Genomic DNA, 25,576 nt, shown 5'->3' on the forward strand with positions numbered 1-25,576 from the left:
TGTTAGTTCATGAAGGACTACTAGTAGAGCAGTTTCATTGTCTTCAAATTGGAAACAGAATTATGCTCTAGATACATCAAGAAACTATAGTCCTAATTGATTATTCACTGAACATTCCCAGTTACAAATTTTGCAGATTATCACACTTGTCCCATAAGTGGTGGGGTGGATGAGTTTGTGGTCTGACCAGTGGTGCCCCTCATCAATGTCTGATCTGACACAGAAGCAGAGTTTAAAATAGTCTTTAGGTTAGCACATTTATTTTTAGAAGACAGTGTTGCTCTACTGAAATTTCCCCAAAGTAAGTTGCTAGTTAAAGCTTTAACTGCAAAGCAAGATCTGTACCTAAAATTCTAAGGGACTAACTTTTCTTAATCCCTTCTTTATTAAAACAGTTTTCCACACAGTTGATAGTTGATACTTTCATTAGACCAACCTTCTTTTCTTTTATAAGACCAATGGGTAAATAGAACTCAGTGTATAAAATTTCACCTTTCACATAGAGCTTTTCTAGAAAAGTGCCTTTTTCTTGAGGCACTGTTTTAGCTCATTGCTGTTTATTTTAGTACTCCTGTGTTTCTTTTATGTCTTAAACTCAGATTTTACTGTGTATTTAATTTTCTGCATATTTTAGTAAAATTTTAACAACTTGAACATGGTAAGTTGGCAAGATTTTCTTTACCCCAAAATGTTGTGCGCATTTTGAGCCATTTAATATTTTTGTACTTTGTTTTCTTTGGAGATAATATAAATACACATATGTACTTTTTTTTCTGTTAGAACTATACTTGTTCGTTGAAGTTTTCCTTAAATTTCAAAATATGACTTTTGCCTTTTCTAATAACAAATAAGAATCGTTACAGAGGTCAGAAAATATCTAAACTCAGCATTAACCATCTTGGCTTCTGTAATATGAATAGACTGTACTTGAGACCGCTGTTCTTTATTGTGGTACCAAGTTTACCCCCAGCCATTACAGCATACTGCTGGAGACAGGCTTTGTATTTGTTAATAGTTACTTTGATGGAAGAGGTGGGAAGAAAACAGAATGAGATTTTGATGTTACTCTTTAACCTTTTTTTTTTTTTTGCCCCCACAGCAAGTTGAAGTCGATTGCCAACAGTGTATGCTCGAAATCCTGGATACTGCAGGGACAGTAAGGATGTTTTCTCTTTTTTTGATAGATTTTAATTTGTGAGCAGGTTTTGTCATCTGAGTAGGTTTTGTCATCCAGATAATTCTGAGTAAAAGTAATCATTCTGATTAAGAAGAAATTCTCTGAACATAGGGATTCTTAAGTATATGAAATCAACTCTGATGTAGTTCATGCTCACATATCACAAAGTTCACCTGTAATAATCTGTGTGTTGGGTTTCTTCCTACATTGAGGTAAGGATTATGCTGTCAGTGATTTTTTAAAATTTATTTTAAATTTAGAGCTTTAGTTAATATTTGTATTTCTATGGGTTTAAATAAGACCTTGTCTCTTGGCACCATAGTCATTAATTTTTATAATTTTTTCTTTTCACTAGCATTTTGACATCTCAAGGGGCTGGTGACAGATACATGTTTTCTGAGGAAGGCAAAAATCTTCCTCAGAAGATTTAGAATTATTTTGAGCCTCCTTTTTCTAATCTTTAAATGAGTATAATGATGTTAGTACATCATAAGGTGTTTGTGATAAGCAAATGAGTTAATAATTATAAATCATTAGGCATAATGTCTGTTACACAGTATGGAATTGTGTATTTGCTTTTATTCTTCTTCATTAATACCATCACCTTTATAATTTTTATTAATAACTGATGGTTTCCAGTTATACTGCCACATAAAATACATACATTAAGCAATCTTTGCTTTTCTTTGTTTATTTTTCTCCATGCACATAGACTTGACACATTAGGCAATTCTTAGCTTTAAAATGGATGGGTTCGTTTTTTGTTTTGCTTAAGAGACGAGGTCTTGCTCTGTCACCTAGGCTAGGGTGTAGTGGTGCAATCATAGTTCACCGCAGTCTCCTGGGCTCAAACAGTCTTCCTGCCTCAGCCTCCTGGGTAGCTAGAATTAAAGGCACGTACCACCACCCCCAGCTAATAAAAAAATTTTTTTTGTAGAGGTGGTTTCGCTGTGTTGCCCAGGCTAATCTCGAACTCCTGACCTCAAGTGTTCTTCCTGGCTCTGCTTCTGAAAGTGCTGGGATTATAGGTGTGAGCCATGGCACCTGGCTGGCATTTTTAAATGTGATAAGTTGTTTAAAATTCAGCACAAAGTTTTCCACTATAATTTTTATAAATGATGGAAACATTTCAGATAGTTCAAAAAAGCATGTAAGCAAATTGGAGTGATTTTATACAACAATATAGTACTAATTATACTGTATTTTTCCATTCTTTTTTGGGAAAATGGCTTAACTCTTATCAGGGACCTTTGCCCTCACAACAAGCTTCTGGTAAAGACCTTCTGAAACTACATTTTCTATCAGCTGAATCAAGCTATCTCTCCCTCTCCCACCCTCCTGCTCTCTAATGTTTTTAGCTTCTGAATCAGCAGAATTCCCCTTTGTTTCCAGAGACCCTAATAGCTAAAATGAATACTTTCTGCTTTTTTTTTTTTTAAATCACATCCACAGTGTACGGGCATTCTTCTTTCTCTGTCCAGATTGTAAGAAGGAAGTTCTCTATCACAGAGATCTTTACTTTGTGCTATCCAATATCGTGTCTGTCTCCCATCTAGCACTCAACACGCTGTGTTATAAGGCCTATTTGCTTGTTTGTGTCCCCAGTACCTTGCATAAAACCTTACAAACAGCTGCATAATCTTGTCTCAAAATCACTCCTTACACTTTGAAGATTTTTGCTTTCTCTCTTTCACATACACTGATTCAATCAGAATTCTTAGTGATTTTACTATCCATATAGAATCTATATGGATATTATAAATGATTTACTACCCTGGCTTGGCCTGTCATTTCCTTGATGTCCATCCTACCTTTAAGGCATTCATACCATGGTTTTACTCTAGGCTATGTGATTACCAATAAGTATAATACCTCTCTAATCTAATTTCCAAGCATCTTATCCTCCATTACTCACTACTTTTTTCTTTATCCATCTCACTTCCTCTTTTTTTTTTTTTTTTGAAACAGGGTCTCTCTCTGTCACCCAGGCTGGAGTGCAGTGGTGTGAACACAGATCACTGCAGCTTCAACCTCCCAGGGTCAAGAAATCCTCCCACCATAACCTCCTGAGGAGCTGGTGCTACTGCAGGTGCATACCACCACACCTAGCTTTTTTTTTTTTTTAATTTTTTGTAGAGACAGGGTCTCACTATATTGTCCAAGCTGGTCTTGAACTGGACTCAAGGGATCCTCCTGTCTTTGGCCTCCCAAAGTGCTGGGATAACAGGTGTGAGCCACTGCACCCAGGCCATCTCATTTCCTTTAGTGCCCTTCAACTTCGTTACAACCTGTAGTCCATTTATCCTAACATCTTTTTATTATCCCTTATATCTTCAACCCCCTCTGCATATAGCTTCAGGTCCACGGTCCATCATTTATAATTCTCTTGAATATATCCTCAACTCCCTTGACTTTTCAGCAGCCTTTGACTCAGTTTATCATTGCTTTCTAATGTAAAACCTTTATTCATTTGGCTTCCAAGAAACAATACTTGCCTGATTTCCTCTGTCTCATTGGTTACTCCTAAGTCTCCTTTCCTAATTCCTCTTTATCTCCCCTACCTCTTAATGTTGGAGGACCTCAGGGTTCAATACTTGCACTTCTCTTTCCTAACAACACTGCTTTGGAGATCTTGTAGTTGCTTGGTTTTAAATACAATCTGTATGCTGATAAATACTAACTTTGTAACCCTGTCTGTATTAGGCCGTTTGCATTATTGTAAAGAAATACCTGAGGCTGGATAATTTATGAAGAAAAGAGGTTTAATTGGCTCATGGTTCTGCAGGCTATACAAGCATAGCTCCAGCATCTGCTTCTGGTGAACACCTCAGGAAGCTTACAATCATAGTGAAAGGCAAAGAGGAGTAGGTGTTTTACATGGCAAGAGCAAAGAGTGAGCGGGAGATGCCACACACTTTTAAACAACCAGATCTCACGAGAACTCATAATTGTGAGGATAGCACCAAGCTATTCATGAGGGATCCACCTCCATGACCCAAATACCTCCCACAGGCCTCACCTCCAACACTGGGGATTACATTTCAGCATAAGGTTTGGAGGTGACAAACATCCAAACAATATCCCTATCTCTCATTTCTTTTCTGAACTTCGAGCTCTTATATCTAACTGCCTCTTCAATATCTCTTTTTGTATGTCTTATAAGCATCTCAAATATAACATGTCCAAACTGAACTCCTGATAACCTTTCCCTGACCTGGGTCTTTCCAGTCTTTCCCATCTCAGTAAATAGTACCTTTTTAGTTGGTTATGCCTGAAACCATGGAGTCGTCCTTGACTGTATTTTTTGTTATATTATGTGTACATCCAAACTCTCAGAAAACCCTACTGGCTTTACCTTAAAAACTTACCCAGAACTCAGCTACCACCACTAGAATCTAATGACACTATCTTGGTCTAAACAGTTGTCATCTCTCAGCTGGATTATTTCAATAACCTCAAAACTGATCTCCCTGCTTCTCTTCTTCACCCCCTTCAGATTGTTCTCCACACAGTAACCATCATAATTCCATTTAAATGTAAGTCAGATCATGTTTTCCTCAGCTTAAATTATGCATTAAACTCAGAGTAAAAGCCCAGGTCTTTATTACATTTCCCTGAAAGGTCCAAATGAGAATCCTCTCTCTTTGTCCCTTCTCTGGCCCCCACTGCTATACTCACCCACTAGGTAACAATGTTTCAATGAATCCAGCCTCCTTACAGCTTCTCATACACTTTAGACATGTTTCCCTTTGGGGCCTTTGCATTTGCTCTTTCCTGTGCTTGGGGTAGTCTTCCTCCACATAACCATAGAGCTTATTCCCTCACCTCCCTCACATGGTTGCTCAAATGTTACCCGTGAGGCCTTCCCTGAGCATAGTCTTTTAAAATATAACTTTATATTCCTACCCTCAAAATAAACTCCCAACCTTTACTTTTCTCTATAACATTTATTACCATCTTGCATACTTGATTTTTGTCTGTCTCCATGTATACTCCTCCAGGGCAGAAATTTTTGCCTCTCATGATCACTAACATATCCATAGGGCTACAACTATGTCAGTGGATATTTGTTGTGAATGGATGAAACTTGTAGAATGTCCTTAAGAAGGAGGTTGGCATTCTCAATAGGAGGGAACACCAACCACAGCAGTTCTGTAAGGACTTTTCTTAAACTGGATTTTCAGAACTCAGGTTGCCTGTATGTTTATTCTTTTGATTTAATAAGAAGCAGAGACCATGATCTCTAGAGAACATCATAGAAATAGTGTTGCTAGTATTTGTAGCACTTAACATTTGTAAGTAAACTCATTTATTATATAAACATTTGGACAGTGGCAGAATTTAATTGGTTACCATAGTGGTGCAATTCTGGAATATGCAAACTTTATCAATGAAAAATCCAGGAAACTTCCAGTTTTTACATCTTTCCCAGAAAATACACTGGCAGCAGTATAGGAAGCTCAGCCATGTTCCTGTGGCACACCTTAGACGAATTTGAAGCTGGGGAAATGGCTGAGTGGTAGCATAGCTAACTCCCTGGAATACAAGAAAGAGTACATCAGCCAGGGTAGAACAACCAGAACTATTTTAGATGTAGTAGACAAAATAGAGGTAGTGGTCATGGGGAACAAGGAAGCCAAGGCACAACAAGCTTAAGAAACTTTGTGGATTTATCTTTTACGTTTAATGCATCCAGAGGTAAAAAGATCCAAACTGTATAGTTATTTAATATAAAGACCCAAGACATACACATTTTTAATATTCTGCCATATGTGCTTTTTAAGTAATATATATATATAATACCAAAACTTTTCTAAAAGAAGATTTTGTCTTATATTAACCTCCATAGTTACAACATAAAGTAATGATTGTCACCAAATAAAAGGAAGTTTAAAATTAAGTAATTTTAATTTGGCATGACTAAAGCTCAGTAACTAAATGTTAACCATTAGTAAATTTAACTAAAGGGGATAGATAGTCATTGCACTATTCTCACATCTTTTCTAAAGGTTTGGAATGAGGGGGAAAATGAAAATACATGAACAAGCTCTTTTTTTTTTTTTTCCGAGACAGAGTTTCACTCTTGTTGCCCAGGCTTGAGTGCAGTGGTGCGATGTTGGCTCACTGCAACCTCCACCTCCCGGGTTCAAGTGATTCTTCTTCCACCAAGTAGCTGGGACTACAGGTGTGCACCACTACGCCCGGCTAATGTTGTATTTTTAGTAGAGGCAGGGTTTCACTGTGTTGGCCAGGCTAGTCTTGAACTCCTGACCTGGGGTGATACACCTGCCTTGGCCTTCCAAAGTGTTGGTATTACAGGTGTGAGTCATTGCCCCTGACCATTAACAAGCTCTTATAAAGAGTTTATTGACTGTCAAGATGATAAAAATATTGCTATGCCATGGGAATAGAAAAAGAAAGATGATAAAATCTGCCAGTAGAGATATTGATTCTGGATGATGAAGTCATAGTTTAGTATTGGGCTTATACCTCAGATTGTTAGCACTTGGGCAGTAGTTGTGTCATAAATTTGCAAATAAAATTATTTAGGATCAAAAGATCTGTTTCTAAAAAATTATATACAGCTCTAAATCACACAAAAGCAAATTAAAGTGGTTAAGAATTCCTTTTTAATTCTAGTTTACTGTCATTGTTTCTAGTCACCTCAGTTGCTAGAAACTTGTGTTATGTCTTGTTTTCTGTCAGGATAGCAAGTAATAAAAAATGTTACTCACTTGTAATTATGCTGTTTTAAATTGTTGCAGTATACATTCAAGAAATTTATATATTTATAATTGCATATTTTTTAAATCATAGGAGCAATTTACAGCAATGAGGGATTTGTATATGAAGAACGGCCAAGGTTTTGCACTAGTATATTCTATTACAGCTCAGTCCACGTTTAACGACTTACAGGACCTGAGGGAACAGATTTTACGGGTTAAGGACACGGAAGATGTAAGTATTTTTTCTCTCTGTAAGATGTTATGCCATCTCTCTGTGGCCAAATAAAAAAGTGCCTGTTTTCTCTATTAGTAGAGGATTTGGAAGCTATCTACCACATGCCTGAAAGAGCCCCTGTGACCAAAAGAAAAAAATTTAACTTTCAAAATTAACCTCAAAATTATGTGGTGAGATGTTTAGAAAATGAGGACATATGTGATAAAGTACTCATTGTGCTATAGGTTAAAAAGTGCAGTAGAGGAAAAAGAGGAGCCAAAGAATACTTCATAGAAGTGGGACCTGAGTTGAGCTTTGAAAGGTGATGGTTGTGTCAGAAACAGTGTTCAAAGAACATTATTAAGATCCATAGTGGTGTGTTTTTATTTCTAAAATTCCATTGGTATAATTCACACATCACAGTCTACCTCCCGGGCTCAAGTGATCTTCCCACCTCAACCCCCTGAGTAGTTGGGACTACAGGTGTGTGCCACCCTGCCTGGCTGATTGTTTTTGAATTTTTTAGTAGAGACCAGGTCTCACTATGTTACCCAGGCTTGTCTCAGGCTCCTGAGCTCAAGCAGTCCTCCTACCTCAGCCTCCCTGGGATTACAGGCATGAACCATTGTGCCTGGCCAGGATTATATTCTTAAAATAATTTGGCATATCTATGTAGTAGGATCTCTTCCATTTTTTTTTTTTTTTTGTCTCTTCCTTCTTCCTTCGCCTCTTCCCCTCAACATATACTTTTCGTTAGTATTTGATGAAGCTTGCGGTCCCAACTAATGCATTTCAGTTGGTGGCAGATAATTGCTTATTTATTTTTTTAAAAGGCTAAGTAATGAGTATGTTATTGTTCATTTTACGTTTTTTTCTTCCCACAGGTTCCAATGATTTTGGTTGGCAATAAATGTGACCTGGAAGATGAGCGAGTAGTTGGCAAAGAGCAGGGCCAGAATTTAGCAAGACAGTGGTGTAACTGTGCCTTTTTAGAATCTTCTGCAAAGTCAAAGATCAATGTTAATGAGGTAACCTACAACTGCTGGGCAGCACAAACAAGTGCCTTTTTAGTTTGCTTTAAGTTAACAGCCAGACTTTTAAGAAAAAATTTTTATCTTTTAAGCAATCTTGATTCCATAATTTTATAGGAAACACTAAGTAATTCCTGGAAACTATATTTTTTAGCTTGCATAAGGTCACTTTGATGGCTGTATGAGGATACTTAAATTTACCTTATTGTAAAAGAGGAAGCTAAAATTGAAGAATGTGTGTAAAATCCTGCTAAGCCTCTAAGTGATATGCGATAAAGTGGTGTGTAAAAATTGTTACATCACCTTATATTGTAATAATTATTTACCCAAATGTATATAAATAGGTTGTAAAGTCAAGTTGGAAAATAATATGTTTTTATGGATATCACAGAATTGTGTTCTGAGTCTTACCTCACCTTTGGTGCATGACTCATAAGTGGGTAATCTGTGTGGGTATGGACATGTACCTGGAATTCACTCAGTCCTTTAGGCCTGATACAGCTGATGCACAAGGCTTTTGTGTGGGGCATGGGGGTGGGGTCACTGGGTTAAGCACTCCACTATCTTGAAAACAGCTGTGGACAAGAATACTTAGCAAATAAGCTGCATGCCTGGGTGTAAAGGGCCAACAGTTTACTAGTTTACTGGGCCCCTAAAAATTTAGAGCAATTTCCAACTGTCCCCACCAGTCAACCTTAAATAGTTCCCTTGCTTTTGTTAACCTTAACATAAGCCTTTTAAAAAAATAAAAACAACAGAGTGGGCTTCTTTCCTGCCGTTGCTTTTGCCATTTGTAGCATTACAGGTAATCAGTCAGAATTCAGATCACTTAACTACATAGGTGAGAGTGAGAGTGGGTTAAGTTATGAGTCCTCTGTTTTTGCTATTCTCTCTGGCCTGTGGTTCTGCTGGCCACTTTTTCTTGACTAATATTATGCTTATAGACTATTTGACTTTTAAAAATGACCAGGTTACTTTAAACACCTGGCAGGTAAAAAAAAATTAAGCTTGCTTCAACTTCTGTATTTTACAGATAATCAAGAATGCCAAAGCTTGTTTTTTTATGTGAAACCATTTTTAACAAGTACATAAAAACAAGAAATTTATAAATTGTATTTATTCAGCAAATATTTATTGACTATTGTGTGTCTGGCACTGTGTCAGGCCCTCAGGTAACAGTCACTCAGACAGACACTATTCCTGCCCTGAAGAAGTTTGCATCCTACTGGGGGAACAAGTCTTTCAGCAATAATTAAAGAAAAAAAGTGATTTTGATAAAGAATTTGTTAGAAATTGTGAATATGTTTGGCTAGCAGAACAGTGACATGAGGTCACTATCTACAAGATAATTGGCCTTACGGGATGTGGTTCCTTGCTGTCCTTGTCCTTACCTCCATGGGACCCACCAACCAAGTTCATCAGACTCCAGGCTCCGGTGGGGCTGGGTTGGGCCTGAGTCCAGTGCATAGGACTTCTCCCTTTGGGAGCCAGAGGACAGTACACTACATGTTTGTGAGAACCTACATGCTATTAAACTTCCTCTGGATTAGTTTCCAATGCAGCAGAGATACTTTTTCATAGCAGTCTTGTTAAAGCAGAGAGTTTATAAACGAGGGTTTATAAAAACAAACATAGAAAAACCATAAAATGAAATGCATTAGCCATCTCAAGAATCTTTACTTTTTGGAAAACATACAAACTTTATGCTCAGTTCTTGAGAGTGGGGAGAATGGAGCAGATAATTTGAGTTTCTTTTAATATTTTTCTCTTTATAACCCAATAATCCAGCTACAGGATTTCTTTGGTAGTTAATAGTTCCTCACACAACTTTTGCCTTGTAAATTTTTTTGTGAGTTTTGAATGCCTGAAGTATAGAGAGATACTTTCAAAAATTCACCTCTTGGCCTTAAATTTGAAAACAGACACCAGGACATACTGCTTGGCTAAAGAGCCCCCTAATTCATTCATATATATATATATATAATTTTTCAAAAACTCTTATTCACACCACTTTGCAACGTTCTTAAAGTAGTATATGGCTATGCCAGAATCACAGTAGTCTTAATCAAGAATTAATTGTTCTTTGCTGAGGCTGGAATAGTAATTGGAATCAAGACAACCCAATTTAGGAATGGGAGAGGGATTGAGAAACTCTATTCTGTGTTCCCTTTAGATTTTTCTATAGTTCAGAGAGATGAGGAAGAACCTAGGCTGGGGCCTTTCAGCATTTCTAACCAAATATTATAGTTCGAACTTGCCCTCATCACTGAACCATCTGCTGCTGTGAGGTAGGCAATGTTTTCCAAAGAAATAATTTAGAATAATACTACAAGCATTAGTTACCTTTCTATATAGTACCAGAAACCAGAAACTGGCTAGTATGAAGAAACTGAAATAGAAACTACTTGTAATTTTTATTAACTTACTGTTTTAGTTTACTTTTATTATTTTTTTATCTTATAGCTTATGCATTGAGTATAGGGAACTAATGAAAACTCATTTGTGGCTTAAGCACATTGAGTTCTTGAAGTTTTCAGAGTTTTGAAACAACTTGGACTTCGGAGTTGTAAAACAGAAACTACAATTTTGTTTATAAATTCTGTTTTCAGACTTTCTTTAGAAATAAGATGACAGAGAGTTAAATGATTTGAAGAGGATGGGAGTGGGAAGAATGGAGCAGAAAGAAAAGAATTTAAATGAGTCACTTTTGTAGCTTTTGGATAAATCATTCAGGTTTTTTTTTAACGGTTAATTTAGTCTTGTAGTCTGGACCATTTAAAAAAGGAAATAGGTAATTATCATTTTAAAGAAATACAATTATTTGCCATCTATCTTAAAATACATGTAGACCGATAATTTAAAAATATTTTACTCTTAAAATGTACTCAAATGATGTAAGAACAATAAAGAAGAATTTGTTTACCCTTCATCAGATTCACCCATTATTAAAATTTTGCCACTTGTTTACAGAAATTACACTTCTTTACCCCTAAATATTTTAGTGTATGTATCCTCAGATCAAAGACATTGTCTTACACAACCACAGCACAATGATTAGAATCCTAAAAATTGATGACACAGTCTGTGTTTGGTATATATTCAGATTTTACCAGTTGTCCCTGTAATGCTCCTTAAAGCCAGTCCATTTTTTAATATACTGCAAAGAATTATTTATTCCAGATTAGTATCAATAAGGGACTTCTGTGATATTTGTTTTTATTCCAAATCATTAGTAAGTGTTGTATTTCATAGCAAAGCTTATCTGTTTCATGTTTTAATACTTTGGCATCAGAATTAAAATAGTCTGCTTTTATGAGATAAGTAGCATTGTATTTTTGTCTTTGATACTTTGCACTTTTCATCCAAAAATGAATCCACAAGATGTATTAACAAACATTATTTGGGCTGGGCACAGTGGCTCACACCTAAAATCTTAGCACTTTGGGAGGCTGAGGCAGCCAGATCACTTGACCTCAGATGTTTGAGACCAGCCTGGACAACATTGCAAAACCCTTGTCTGTACGAAAAATACAAAAATTAGCTGGGTGTCGTGGTGCACGCTGTAGCTCCCAGCCGTTCGGGAGGCTGAGATGGAAGGATCACTTGAGCCTGGGAAGTGGAAGTTGCAGTGAGCTGATTGCACCACTGCACTCCAGCCTGCGTGACAGAGCAAGACTCTGTCTCAAAACAAAACAAACAAACTAAAAACCACAAATATTTGTTATTTCAAATCAAGGATTAGCAGACTTTTTCTACTTTTTACGTTTAACCAAAATTAACATCAAAAAAAGGCAAACAAAAATCATGCGCCTCCGCATGTGATACCTTGAAAGGGAGACAGTATCTCTTTTGTCCTATTTTAGACAAAAATGTATATAACCTGAATCTAATCACGAGAAAACCTCAGATAAACCCAAATCAAGGGAAGTTACTAGCCTTTATTTTTCAGAAATGACAATGTCCTGAAAGGCAAAGGCCAAAGAACTGTTCCAGATTTTTAAAAACTAAAGTGAGAGGAAATAAACTGCAATGTGTGATCCTGAATGGATCCTGTCCTTGGAGGGGAAAGTTACTATAAAGTACATTATTGGGGCAGTTGACAAAATTGGAATTTGCTCTGTAGTTATACAAAATAATGTGTCAATCCTTAAATGTCTCAAGTGCAATAACTATAACGTGTTTATGTAAGAGAATATCCTTGTTCTTAGGAACAACTTAACTGTTAAAGGACTTAATAGTTAAGGTCTACTCTCAGATGATTCAGAAAGTGTGTGTGTGTGCACGTGTGTGTGTATGTATGTGTAGTAAAAGTGGCAAAATGTTACTAATTGGTGAATCTGGGAAGAATAGAACCGAAGTTGTTGGTACTATTTTTGCAACTTTTCCGTTGGTTTGGAGTTTTCACTATTTTTCACTACCAGTTCTTTTTCTTGATTTGATGTCGAATATCTAGGAGCAAGGGCATTTCCTTCATTATAAATAGGTAAGTCCTGCTTTCTACCCTGATTGAAAGTCAGCAGAGCCTTCTAACAAACCTGACTTTAAAAGAAAGAAGCAGAATGCAGATCTAAGACCAGAATAGTACTTACCAGAATTGTTTTGTGGAACAAAGTCTCAAAAACTGGTGGAGTAAGTACTTTTTTTCTTGTTTTTACTTAGATATTTTATGACCTGGTCAGACAGATAAATAGGAAAACACCAGTGGAAAAGAAGAAGCCTAAAAAGAAATCATGTCTGCTGCTCTAGGCCCATAGTCAGCAGCAGCTCTGAGCCAGGTAAGATGCTAAAAGCAGAACAAGTGCCTTTCTCATGCTCCTATTTTGGCTTTTTCCAGACTTTAGCTACTTCCCATTTCATCTGTTATGGTATTTCTAAGCTTCTGTAACTTGTAAATGTGATATATAACTTGTAGGTACGTCATCTGTTGGATAACTTGCCCTCTCCCCTTGAGATTCTAAGCTCTCTGACAGCAGGGACCATTTCTGTTTTTTCTTGCCACTGTGTCCCCAGTGCTTGATACAGAGTTGGGTTTTAAAAAATAGTAGTTGAATGAATAGAACGCCTTCCTAGATGACTCCCAAATTCATTCTTAATTGAAGTGAAACAGTAGTTGCTCTGAAAAAGTTTAAGTGCACATTTGGTGAATTATCCCAAAGTGACATACCCGTATATAACAACAAGAGTCACCCTTCCCCAAATTAAATTAAAACTCTGCCCTGATTTCTAACTCCATGGATTAGTTTTGCCTCTCTTTGAACTTTACATAAACAAAAACGTAGTGTATTTCCTGTGTCTGGCTTCTTGCACTCCAAAATATGTTTTTGAGAATTATTTATGTTAAATGTATCAGTAGTTCATTTTTATTGCATGACAGTACTGGCAGTATGTTTATGTATTCTTCTGTTGGTGTTCATTTAAGTTCTTTCTTTGGGGGAATTAGTATGAATAATTCTGTGCACATTCCTATATGTCTTTGTGCACATGTACATGCATTTCTGTTGGGTATATATCTAAGAATGGAATGGCCAGATCATATACTATACATATGGACAGCTTTAGTAGATACTGCTAAAAAGTTTTTCAAAGTGGCTGTACCAGTTTACACACCCTGCAACGGTTTTTGAGTTCTACATTCTCCCCAAAATTGATATTGTCAGTCTTCTTAACTTGACCCATTCCAGGAGATGTGTGGTGGTGTATCAGTGTAATTTTGGTAGTTATTTCCCTCTCTGGTATGAGTCAACTTCTTTCAAATAAAGGTTTTCTATTTGGGCTTCTAAGTATTAGTTGACTTTACCATTTTAGTTTCCACTAAGTGACCCCATTGGAAAGAAATTTATGACAGCATTTAAGCTGACTCTCAAGTGAGAAACCAGGATCTATGGGGACTTTTTTCTTTAATTTGTATTGTATTTAAATCCCCTGAAGGTTTCTACTTAATCAGTTCTATAAATAATACCATAAAAGATTATTTTCATGGAGTGGATTTATTACATAATTTGGTGCTTATTACATGATTATTACTAAACTTGGTCTCCAGTTGGAGTAAACTGGTCCCACTGGAAAGTTGGTTACACTAACTCTTGTAAGTCTCTTGGTCTATTTAGTAGATTATCCCTTAAGAGCTCCCAATTAACTACTGTGTGCTTCCTTAGAGATATGAATCTCTCTATTAAGGGAAACACCTGAGTAATTGTAGTTCCTTTTTTAAATGAAGGTACATAGAGGAAAAATGGGCAGAAAGGAGAAAAGGGCCTAGGGATTATCTCTGGTAGTCAGATTTAGGAAAGACAGCATCTGGCTAATGTTTGCTTTAGGCTTTTAATGAAATCTTAATTCAATAACTTTTTTTCTTTTTTTTGAGACGGAGTCTCGCCTTGTCACCCAGGCTGGAGTACAGTGGCACACTCTGCTCACTGCAACCTCTGCCTCCCTGGGTTCAAGCTATTCTCCTGCCTCAACCTCCTGAGTAGCTGGGACTTCAGGTGTGCACCACCATGCCTGGCTAATTTTTGTATTTTTAGTAGAGACAAGGTTTCATCACATTGGCCTGGCTGGTCTCAAACTCCTGACCTCAGGTGATCCGATCCACCTGCCTCGACCTCCCAAAGTGCTGGGATTACAGGCGTGAGCCACCGCGCCTGGCCTTGATTCTATAACTTTAAATCATCAGTTCCCTGAAAGTGATTATTAAGATTACTGGTGTATGTATTTGTTTAGGTAAAGGTGCAAAGATAGAGAAAATGAAGACTCCAGTTCCAGTTCTTAAATACTATATTATTTAACTCTGTTATAGTTGACTGGCTTATTGACAGCTCATTACCATGGCTGGCCCTAATTTAATTTCCAGTTCTCACAAAATATCCTTTTAGCTTATGTTAAAGGAAAAGGTGCCATCTCCTGGCCTATTACGATTTTTAAAATTCATTTATACACACCCAACAATGTGACAGTCCCTTGTGAGTTTTACCTTAGAGAAGATAAATCTTGACCTAGATCTGGAATAAGACTTTAGTCTTGCTTGCATAAATTCTTAGACTCTGATGTGTGATAAAGTTTACTTAATAAGTCATCCAAGATCTCTGTGGATGTTTGATAATACCAAATAATAGGTGACTTAGCAATCAGACTGCTTTGCATACATTTTAGTGTGATTGTAGATTTGAAGTGCCATGTTGTTCCTGTACTTTTAAAAGTACTGAGATACAGGATAGATTTAAATAGAAATTATAAACGTTTTTAGTAAGAGTACATGAACTCTGAGGCCACCTTATCTAGTCCATAGCCTTTAGGCAAAATTGTATTGAATCATGTTAATCTCCTTTTTATATGTCCCAGTTTTAAAGACATCTGAGAGAAATTCATCATGTGGATTATTTTACCTGATTCTTGTCTGTTGACAATAAGACTAACTTTGATTCTTCTGCTCTTGACTATGGGGATTAGCTCTTTCTGTATCATCCCTTGCCTTAACCTGTATTAGAAATGGTAATTCTAATATATAATCATAAAATGCTTGAATAAAGAATATCTTATGGAAAGTTTATGGAGGCAGGTGTGTCCTTCAGTAAAAAAGGAAAGTAAAAATAAGATGGTAATGAGATAGAATAAAAATATCATTGTCTTCCTTTGTACAGACAGGATTGTCAGATGTAATGGGAAACACTATAATTGAGTATAACTAAGTATAACTGAGGATAATTCAAGTTGATCAGTTATAGACTCCTCTTGTAAACTTCTATTTTTGATTTTTTAAAACATTTTTAAAGGGAATTTAAAATAGCACTGTTACTGTAGCTGTTTAGCATAATTTAGTTCTCAAGTTATGATCAGCTAAAATCATTATTTTTTTATTTTATTGAATACCTGCTTGTTTAGTACCATTTTCTGACATCAAGAGATTAACCATACATATATGTATATCTGTATCCAATGTCTTAGATTACAGGAATGAAGAACTGTTGCCTAATTGGAAAGTGCCAGCATTCCAGACTTCAAAAATAAAAAATCTGAAGAGGCTTCTCCTGTTTTATATATTATGTGAAGAATTTAGATCTTATATTGGTTTGCACAAGTTCCCTGGAGAAAAAAATTGCTCTGTGTATATCTCTTGGAAAATAAGACAATAGTATTTCTCCTTTGCAATAGCAGTTATAACAGATGTGAAAATATACTTGACTCTAATATGATTATACAAAAGAGCATGGATGCATTTCAAATGTTAGATATTGCTACTATAATCAAATGATTTCATATTGATCTTTTTATCATGATCCTCCCTATCAAGCACTAAAAAGTTGAACCATTATACTTTATATCTGTAATGATACTGATTATGAAATGTCCCCTCAAACTCATTGCAGCAGATAACTTTTTTGAGTCATTGACTTCATTTTATATTTAAAAAATTATGGAATATCATCTGTCATTATATTCTAATTAAAATTGTGCATAATGCTTTGGAAAAATGGGTCTTTTATAGGAAAAAAACTGGGATAACTGATTTCTATGGCTTTCAAAGCTAAAATATATAATATACTAAACCAACTCTAATATTGCTTCTTGTGTTTTACTGTCAGATTAAATTACAGCTTTTATGGATGATTAAATTTTAGTACATTTTCATTTGGTTTGTGTGTTTTTGTTATTGTTTATAGATTAAAGCGTTTATTTTATAATGACCACATTGTTTTAAATGCGACAGTAGCTCCTTTCTGCCTAGTATCTGCAGAACACTGGCTTTAAACTATACTAAGTAACTGGTGATTTCTCTAGGAACAGACCTCGCACTTTCTGTTCTAAATATATTTATTCCTACTATACAGTAAAATACATCAGACAACATAGAATAGTTTTGTATATTCTCTCTTGATCTTAAAGATTGTATCTTATTGAATATCCCACTGTATATTATTTTTATATGTAAAAAGATAAGTTTAATACTGTATCAGGGTTTAACTTTTACTATTTCAGATCTTCCACAGCTTGTAATTTCATCAAGGGAATCCTTTTGCATTGTTAATTTGTTGGGTGTGAGTCCACCAATGAAGTGTTATGTGAAAAATTTCAAACTTGCTTTATAATAGATTGAAGAATTTGAGAGAAGTGAGAGAAAGTTAAAACACATAAAAGGAATGTGTTACTTTTGCTTAAACTACTTATGAAATAGTATGGTAGTAGTAATATGGAAGAGATTGCTAAGTTAAAATTGTAGCTTCCTATATAGTGGTGCTTTTTCTTTTCCTTCCCAGTTATTTTCCTCTTTACAAAAGATAGGGCTTAAGTAAGACATGGACCCAGGGTGATACTACTTATGTAGTCTCTATAAAGAGAGGTAGAACAAAAAGCTTGTTAGCCAATTAAGTTCTGGAAAAGGAAAGAAACAAGCTTAGAAAACCCTGTGCCTTGTCCTCAAATATTAAGGAGGAGACAGACCAGTCCTAGAAAGTCTAAGTCATTGCTCAGGGATCTCTAGATACTGTCTCTTTGCAACTAGGTATGAAGAAGTGTTCATGCCTTGCTGAGATTTTCCAGGCATGTGGTCAGCCTGTCACTTACTAAACTGAAATTTTAAAATCAGGTTTCAAATGTTAAGCTTTGACCAACCTGAGAAAATGTTAAAGTATTGTTTTTAAAAAAATGGAAATTTTTTTTGTTTGTGTTTTTGTTTTAGTTTCGAATAAACTTAGTTACCTTACACTTCCCTTCTACTTATCCAATTATGCATATGTCTGGGATTGAGGGGCCAAAACTATAGCGAACTTGAATGAAGTATTAGGGCCAGTTGTCAGGTCAGGGTGGCATCTTTTATTTTAAGGTCCTCTAAAGTCATTCTGCTTTAAAACACCCCTCAAACATACCTTTAAACTTAAGATCATAGACAGACATCTCATCAACCAGTAAAACTTTCTAAATACTACCTTGTCACATCTATTGTGTAGTTATTTAACAGATTAAATAGAAGTCATTTAATAAGACTCCAAGTCTCAGTCTGCTTGACTAGTAGCATAAACTCAGTCTATTCTATTTTAGAATGTGGTGGAGAAAGATGATAGTTATTAGATTCCTTTGTCACATCTTATACAGTCCACTTGGGTTAAAGGTGGAACTGTCAAGAAAAACGCCTTTCTGGCACACAGTGATATGCAGAGCAGGACCAGCTGAAGTCAGATGTGCAAGGAAATCTGTGGTTGCTGAGCAGGATGAAAAGTATCCTGTTAGAAAGTGAGATAGGTGTGTTTTTATATTGTCCTAATGTGAACTCCTTAGTCTTGGTTCCAAAGGGAAGGGTACCTGAAAATAAATGTATTTTTATAGCTGAAAAATCAAGAGTTTCTAGGATATTGTGTGAATGTCAAATGATAAATATCTAGAAACTGATTTCATATTAGTATGTGTGGCTATTTAAAGTATAATGACTTTGGTTTGGTTATATGAGTGACACAGAATTTAAGGAGGCTTCATGCCATAGTTCATAGTTTGCTCTAATGGCTTGGTGGTATCCCTGAACAGTCTACTTTTAGAAATTAACAGTAAATACACAATCCAGCTGTAATCTTACCCTCCACCAGGGGGAGCTTCAACATCGGTTAATACTTTTTTTTTTTTTGAGATGGAGTCTCGCCCTGTCGCCCAGGCTAGAGTGCAATGGCTCAGTCTCCGCTCACTGCAACCTCTGCCTCCCGGGTTCAAACAGTTGTGCCTCAGTCTTCCAAGTAGCTGGGATTACAGGCACCCGCCACCACGCCCAGCTAATTTTTGTATTTTTAGTAGAGACGGGGTTTCATCATGTTGGCGAGGCTGGTCTTGAACTCCTGACTTCGTGATCCGCCCCCCCCTCAGCCTCCCAAAGTGCTGGGATTACAGGCGTGAGCCACCGCGCCTGGCCCGGTTAATACTTTCATAAGCATTGAAGTAACTATTTAAGTCCTAGTACATAAACACTGTGTGGTTCACAAAAAGGCATAGAGACATTCTCTCAAGAGTTTACAATCTAATTGGGCAGGGAAGATACTACAGTTCATCAAAGATATGAATAACACCCTAGTTTTCTGAACTGCAGCTGCATGGGTAATTATCTTAAGAACTTTTGGCAAAATATGGATGTTGGTGTGTTACTCTCTTCTCCCTACAACTCTGAACTAATCTGTGTTTGGCACCTTGATTTGCCATCATAAATGGCCACCATTTACTCCTCACTGAAATATTCTTCTTCTTTGAGGTTATAATGTACTTGGAAAAGTTAATACTTATAGAAAATAATGATCTTTATTACCAACTTTATTAAAACAGGCTTGGAACATTTTTCTCCATAGAAGAATAGTAATAAGACATTCTACATTTCCTGGACATGGCCAGTTTAAAATATTTTGCCCCATTACCCTTGTAGATACACATGTATTTGTCAGTTTATGTGCCTCAGTTTTGTCTTAGGCACTGAGGGACAGAAAGAGAAATAAGGAATACCTTGGTATTTTCCTTTGCAAGCAATCACAGCAGAATGCTAGAAAACATAAAATATACTCTTATAAATTGTATGTGTGTTGAAACCAAAGTGTGAAGAAATTGTCAGGTATTTGGAGGAGGAAAATAATTTGTAAAATAACCTTTTTAAGAATTTGGATTTTGTACTTATTTAAGGTGCTAAATATGTGTTAAAATATCCCCTCTTGAATCAGCTCCAGGCTTAAAAGGGCAGAGTGGTTTGGATTCTTGTCCAGGGTCTGGAAAGAGCTCATCTTGCCGAGAGGGAAATAAATGTGAGCTTTGAGGCGGTCTAACTACCCAGCTTTTAGTATTTATGTTCCCCAAAATGTAAAAACTGTAAGTTATTCTTGAAAATGTAGTCCAGACATTTCTTTGATCCTGGATTTTACTGCAGTTTCATCATGGGTTTGTTGAATGTGCAGTCCATTTATTGCCCTGTCTTGCTTAAATATTCTTGTTGAGAACAGCTGGAGGCTTTGACTGGGTTCCTAGTTCTGTTTTCTGGGAAGGCAACGTGGATTCTGTTTTGTAGACATTAATGAGCTTTAAATGGGAATTGGGGATGATGTATGTTCGTTGGGCATGCTGAGAAGCGGCCTCCTGTGGTTCTGGGCCCAAGGTGTGACATACATTTCCCACTAATTGCTTCTCTCAAGAAGCAAGAGATTGGCTGTTCCTCTTGAGGAAAAACCTTAATAAACCTTCCCATTTTAAACAGTGGTGTGACTCTTATTTTGAGCTGTTGTTTTCAATGAATTTTTTTAAAGCTTACCATGTTCAAATTTTTGTGCTGAATGTTGTAGGACATGCAAATCAGAACAGGACATGATCCTTAGGGGCCTACCAACAAATATTCATTGCACTTCTACTGTATGGCAAGTGCTGATCTGCATGCCGCGGAAACAACAGTGAACAGTACAGACTCAGATCCCTTTCCTCGTGGAGTTTTTATCTTTAGAAAATGGTAAAAGATAACTTGTGTAATGATGAGTGCTTTGAAGAAGAATTAAGCCGTGTAAAGGGGCAAGAGTACTGGGCAGAGGTGGTGGTAGTGGGTTAATATCTCATTGAAGTTGATACTCGAGTAAGTGTTCAAAGTGAGCAGCCCATGCAACTGCCTGGGGGAAAGGAGGATTTTCCATTCCTTGGGGAAAGGGTCTGTGCCAATGCCATGAGGTGGACATGTGCCTGGTGTGTTGAAGACTGGCAAGGAGGTCAGTATGGGTGGAGCAGAGTGAGCAAGTGGGAGAAGAGTAGTAAAAGAGAGGTAATGGGATTGAGTAGGGGGAAATTTCCCACAGCATTTACTCTGTGTTGAGTCCACGGAAAGGATTTCAGCAGAGGGTATAATGTGATCAGACTCCTCAACCATAATATGCCATCAGGAGTGCTCCGTTGAGCTGAGAATAGCCCGTATGAGGACAAACATGAAGGCTGATACCACTTAGAACACGGAATCATGTGAGGGACAGTGATTTGGACCATAGTGGTAGCAGTGGAGTGGCTATATTCTAGGTGTATTTTGCAAGTGGAGCCAACAGGATTTACTGACACATAAGAGTATAATAGAGAGGGAACAAGGAAGAATCCAAGATTTGGGCCAATAATCAAGATTATGACAGGAGCAGATTGGAAGGAGAATGAGGAATGGGCAGGAGTTCCATTTTGAACCTACTATGTGTAAGAAGTGTGTCACATTCTAGAGATTTATAGTAGGCAGTTGGATACGAGTCGAATTCAGCAGAAGCAGTCTGGAGAGGACATTCAGTATTTTAAAACATGAAACTATGGAGGATCAGTAGGGTTGAGTGTAGATAGAAAAGAGGTTCCTGAGGAATTCTATCAAGAGGTTGAGAGATGGAGAGGAATTAGAGAAAAACATGGAGGGCACTGGTGACTTTGATGGACTGTGGAATGTTTGGGGACATTGTCTGGAGTAGACACAGGAAAAAATGCGAAGAAAAACATTGGAGACATCAAGCATGCATTACCCTATTAAGATGGGTGAAACAGTGCATGTTTCTGAGCTAAGGGGGATGACCCACTGAGAAGGAAAACAGTAAGCTAAATGGGTGGAGTCTAGTATAAAAGTAAAGAAGCTGACTCAGGAGTGTAGGTGGGCATAGTTGCAGGAGGGAAAATGGTATATAGGTATAGAGAAGGTCTCAAAGAAGGAAAGTAGTATGAGACGGGACAGATGCTTTCCATTCTGGGAGATTTGAAGTTCCTCAGAGGGGCGTTTGAAGTAGGCCTTTAAGAAAGGGTGGGATTGGCTGGGCACGGTGGTTCACTCCTATAATCCCAGCACTTTGGGAGGCTGAGGTGGGTGGATCACAGGGTCAGGAGTTCAAGACCAGCCTGGCCAACATAGTGAAACCCCGTCTCTACTAAAAAATACAAAATAAGCCAGGCGTGGTGGCGGGCGCCTGTAATCCCAGCTACTCGGGAGGCTGAGGCAGGAGAGAATCGCCTGAACCCGGGAGGCGGAGGTTGCAGTGAGCTAAGATTATGCCATTGCACTCCAGCCCGGGCAATAGTTTAAGACTCTGTCTCAAAAAAAAAAAAAAAAAGGTGGGATTTTCAACAGGTGAGAGTAAGGAAGAATATTATAGACAGATTTCCGGAAAAAGCAAGTGCAGAAAACGGAAATGAACAAGAAGTTATCTAGTTCCATTTAGTGTTGGGAAATGTGGAAGGAATAGGCTGGAAGAATACATTGGGGCCATGTCATGGCTGGCCTTGAAACAAGAAGTTAACTATCTAGTAGGTTGAATTAAATATCTAGGGCATAGGAACCACCTCAGTGAGACTTGGTGAGGACAGGGATGGAGAAATTTCAGACCTGAGTAGCATGAAAATCACAGTTGTAAGGGTTACTCTCTTATGAATTCTGATGGTCCTCTCTTCATTTCTCACTTCCTTTCCCCCCTTTCTTTAATGAAGATAACCTCTAAGGCCATGACTCCCAGACAAATGTTCCATTTAGAAGGGAACCAGCATTCATTGTTTGGCCCTCAAAGATGTTAAAGAAGAGAATAATCTCTTTTTCTCGCCCTGTATTCCTGTGCTTCACTTGCCATGATTCTGCTCTTCTCAGACTCTTTAGCAGAGGACGTAGCTCCTACCTGGCAGGCAGACTGTTGGTATCCTCCCAGTTTTCCTCTCTACTCCTACTTCATGAACAGCATGAGACAGCAGCCCCTCTGTCCCATCCTAGTGATCTACCATATCATATTGAGAAGGCTTAGTGGGGACTGTTCCTTATCCACCCCCATCTGTTAGCCGCCAATGTTCCCACCAGGGTCCCATCATCAGACCTCTTGTGGGTGAGACGAAGGGCACGGGCCACACTTCTCTAGCCGCTGTCATCCTTGCCCTTAGCATCACTAATGTCTCCAGTTGCACAGGTTGGGGAGTTCAACGCAGCCACCAGGATCAAGGGAACTCTAAGCATGCAGCCTCCTCAGTTTGGAAAGTAGGATTTGGAATAGTGAGACTAGGCACTGGGACCTGCCTGTCTTCCTTGGAGAGGGGATACATGTGCATGGAGAAAGAGATGTTTGATCCTTATACTCCCAGCAGGGTCCTGAAGCCCAGGTCAGAAGCTTTGGAATTATTTGGGCCCTTGAAATCACTGACATAAAGTCTAACTGGGATATGAATTTTATTTTCTGGAATATGAATTGACTTAACAGATGCTTGGAACGTCAGAGCAGGGATTCTAACACCTGCTTAAGTCAATCTGGCCCATTGCTTACTAGGATAACTCAGCTCCCTAAGCCAGTTGCGTGGTGTGGGAGTGCAAGGGGAGGCCCTGGGCCAGGACATGGAGGTGATCTGTGTGATGATACTAACTTTGGCACCTCTGCTCAGGGAGCTGAGGCTATGCAGGGATTTCAGTTCAGTTACTCCATTTGCTTCTTTTTTAATGCCTATCTGCCCATCCCCCACCCCCCCCCTTTCCTACCTCTTCTACACAAATGACTATACTGCTGCTGCCTTACTGGCAGCTCAATCCCTGGTAGGGAGACAATGCCTGGAGTGTGGCCAGTAGTGGAGCCGGAGGCAGGGAAGGCGCTGAACACCCAACTCTCAACTTCCTTTCCCACTGCCCTGCCCTGCCCCTCCCTCCATAATCACAATGATGGGAGGAGAATGTAGCAGACTCAATGTCCCTAGTGGGGCCACCAGCATAGCAAATTAGAAAAAATCTTTGGGTAGGGTAAAACTGGGACCAGATGTTGTTGCCAAAGAGGACAAGGAGATGAACCCAGCCAGGAAGACGAGTGGAAAGGGATCGAGGAAGAAAGGGAAAAACGTGGAGGATAGGGTAAAGGTGACTTCCTCTGGAATGGAAATTGGGACCCACTTGGGATTGAGTAGACGTGGGAATTGCCTGTGATCATCTGAAGGGCCTGGGTTCTGGATAGCCAATAAGAGCATGACAATGGGGACAGGGAGCCAAGTGGGAGGGGTGAGGACTAAGGCTCACCAGACGGCCTACATTAAAATAGAATTGGCCTGGGAGGCTAGGGTGGAGAAGCCAGAGCACCAGGCCAGGGACAAAGGAGACTGCCCAACAGCTTGGAGAGGGTGCTGGGGACAGAGAGTTTTCCTGCTCTCTTGAAAGTGACTCTGGCCACAGCTCCCCCTCTTCTGGAGAACGGGCTGAGGACAAGAGTGAAAAATGGGCTTTAGGAGGCAGCTAAGGAGGCCTTGACTGCTGGTCTTCCCTGAAGCAGGAGATGGGCTCAGCCCAGGGCTCACTTTGAGGAGTGGAGGTCACCCGGGAACCCAGTGCTCAGTACTAGAGGTACGGAAATGAGTAAGGAGTATTTGCCACCCAGGAGGTGCAACAATGTAGAGAGGAAGATAAACATGCACAGAAGTAACTTACATAACAAGTACTGGCAGTGGGGGAACTAGATTCCTCAGGAAACAGCATATGCAAAGACCTAGTGGCATGGAAAGAACCCAAGCTTGGCACACTCAACCCATCACCTTGGAGGGTAAACTGGGTGGGATCTAATTGGGCAGGACTGGGCTAGACACCAGGGAAGACAGGAGACAGGATGAAGTGACAGGATCTCGCAGACAGATCCTGCATTCACTCCTCTGTCCTTCAGACTCTGAGCAGGAGGTGGCGGTGAGGCAGACGGTGAGGCAGGCGGGGCTCAAGTAGAAGCATGGGAAAGGGCCCAAGTGGAAGCTCGAGGTGAGGCCGGGGGAGAGCAAGGGAACCACAGGAAAACAAAACTTGATTCTTCTTTTGGATGAGGACAGCTTCCCCTGCAAACCAGCAGTCCCCAGGCAGCCTCAGATGGGCTCCTGAGACACCCTTCCCTGGCCAGTTGAAGGAAACTGGGATCATCACATTCAGAGTGGAGAAGACTCAAAAAGGGACAAGGCAGACAGCCCAGAGCCAGGTCATGGTGGGTGGAGGCGAGTTGGGAACAAGATTGGGTGGGGGTGTAGAGCTCACAGGAGCTGGTTTTTGGCAGTGTTTCTGGTATGTCCCTGTAAAGGGCCAGTCATCTTGAAGGACATGCCCAGAGGGGCATATAGGTGAATAGGTTCTGTGAGTGGAAGCCGGGGACTGTGCGCAGCCGTGGCCTGAAGCCAGGCATAGAATTCTGCTCTTTCTCCTCAAAGATGCAAGGAAAAGGGAAAGCATATGGTGATTGTCATGGCCCCCTTGTCAAATAAGTATTGCCCCAAACTGTGTTCAGGGACACACTGCTCCTCAGTGTCCTCTCTGACCAGGAACACAGAGGCATTTTCAGGGGATAGTGTGTGTGTGTGTGTGTGTGTGTGTGTGTGTGTGTGTGTGTGTGTGTGTGTGTGTGGTGGCGGGGACGAGGAGGACTCCAGTGGGAGAGAAGAGTGTAAGAATTCAAGGACTTTGTTTCCGGGACATTGGCAAGGCCGACTTCATTGGGGC

General features: G+C 38.8%; 1 protein-coding gene across 6 annotated transcripts in view; it reads left to right on the forward strand.

Moving 5' to 3' along the window:
• RAP1A (RAP1A, member of RAS oncogene family) overlaps positions 1-20,350 on the forward strand; it is a 174,683-nt gene extending 154,333 nt beyond the window's left edge. For all 6 annotated transcript variants that reach the window (NM_001370216.2, NM_001291896.3, NM_001394066.1 and 3 more), the window contains 5 exons: positions 1,100-1,156; positions 6,995-7,135; positions 8,002-8,145; positions 12,808-12,923; positions 16,090-20,350. In NM_001370216.2, coding sequence (NP_001357145.1) covers positions 1,100-1,156; positions 6,995-7,135; positions 8,002-8,145; positions 12,808-12,894 — 429 coding nt within the window. In that variant the 3' untranslated portion in view covers positions 12,895-12,923; positions 16,090-20,350. The remainder of the gene's footprint in view (positions 1-1,099; positions 1,157-6,994; positions 7,136-8,001; positions 8,146-12,807; positions 12,924-16,089) is intronic.
• Positions 20,351-25,576: the final 5,226 nt, after the last annotated feature.

This window comes from Homo sapiens, chromosome 1 (assembly GCF_000001405.40).
Source record: "Homo sapiens chromosome 1, GRCh38.p14 Primary Assembly".
NCBI classification, from domain to species: Eukaryota; Metazoa; Chordata; class Mammalia; order Primates; family Hominidae; genus Homo; species Homo sapiens.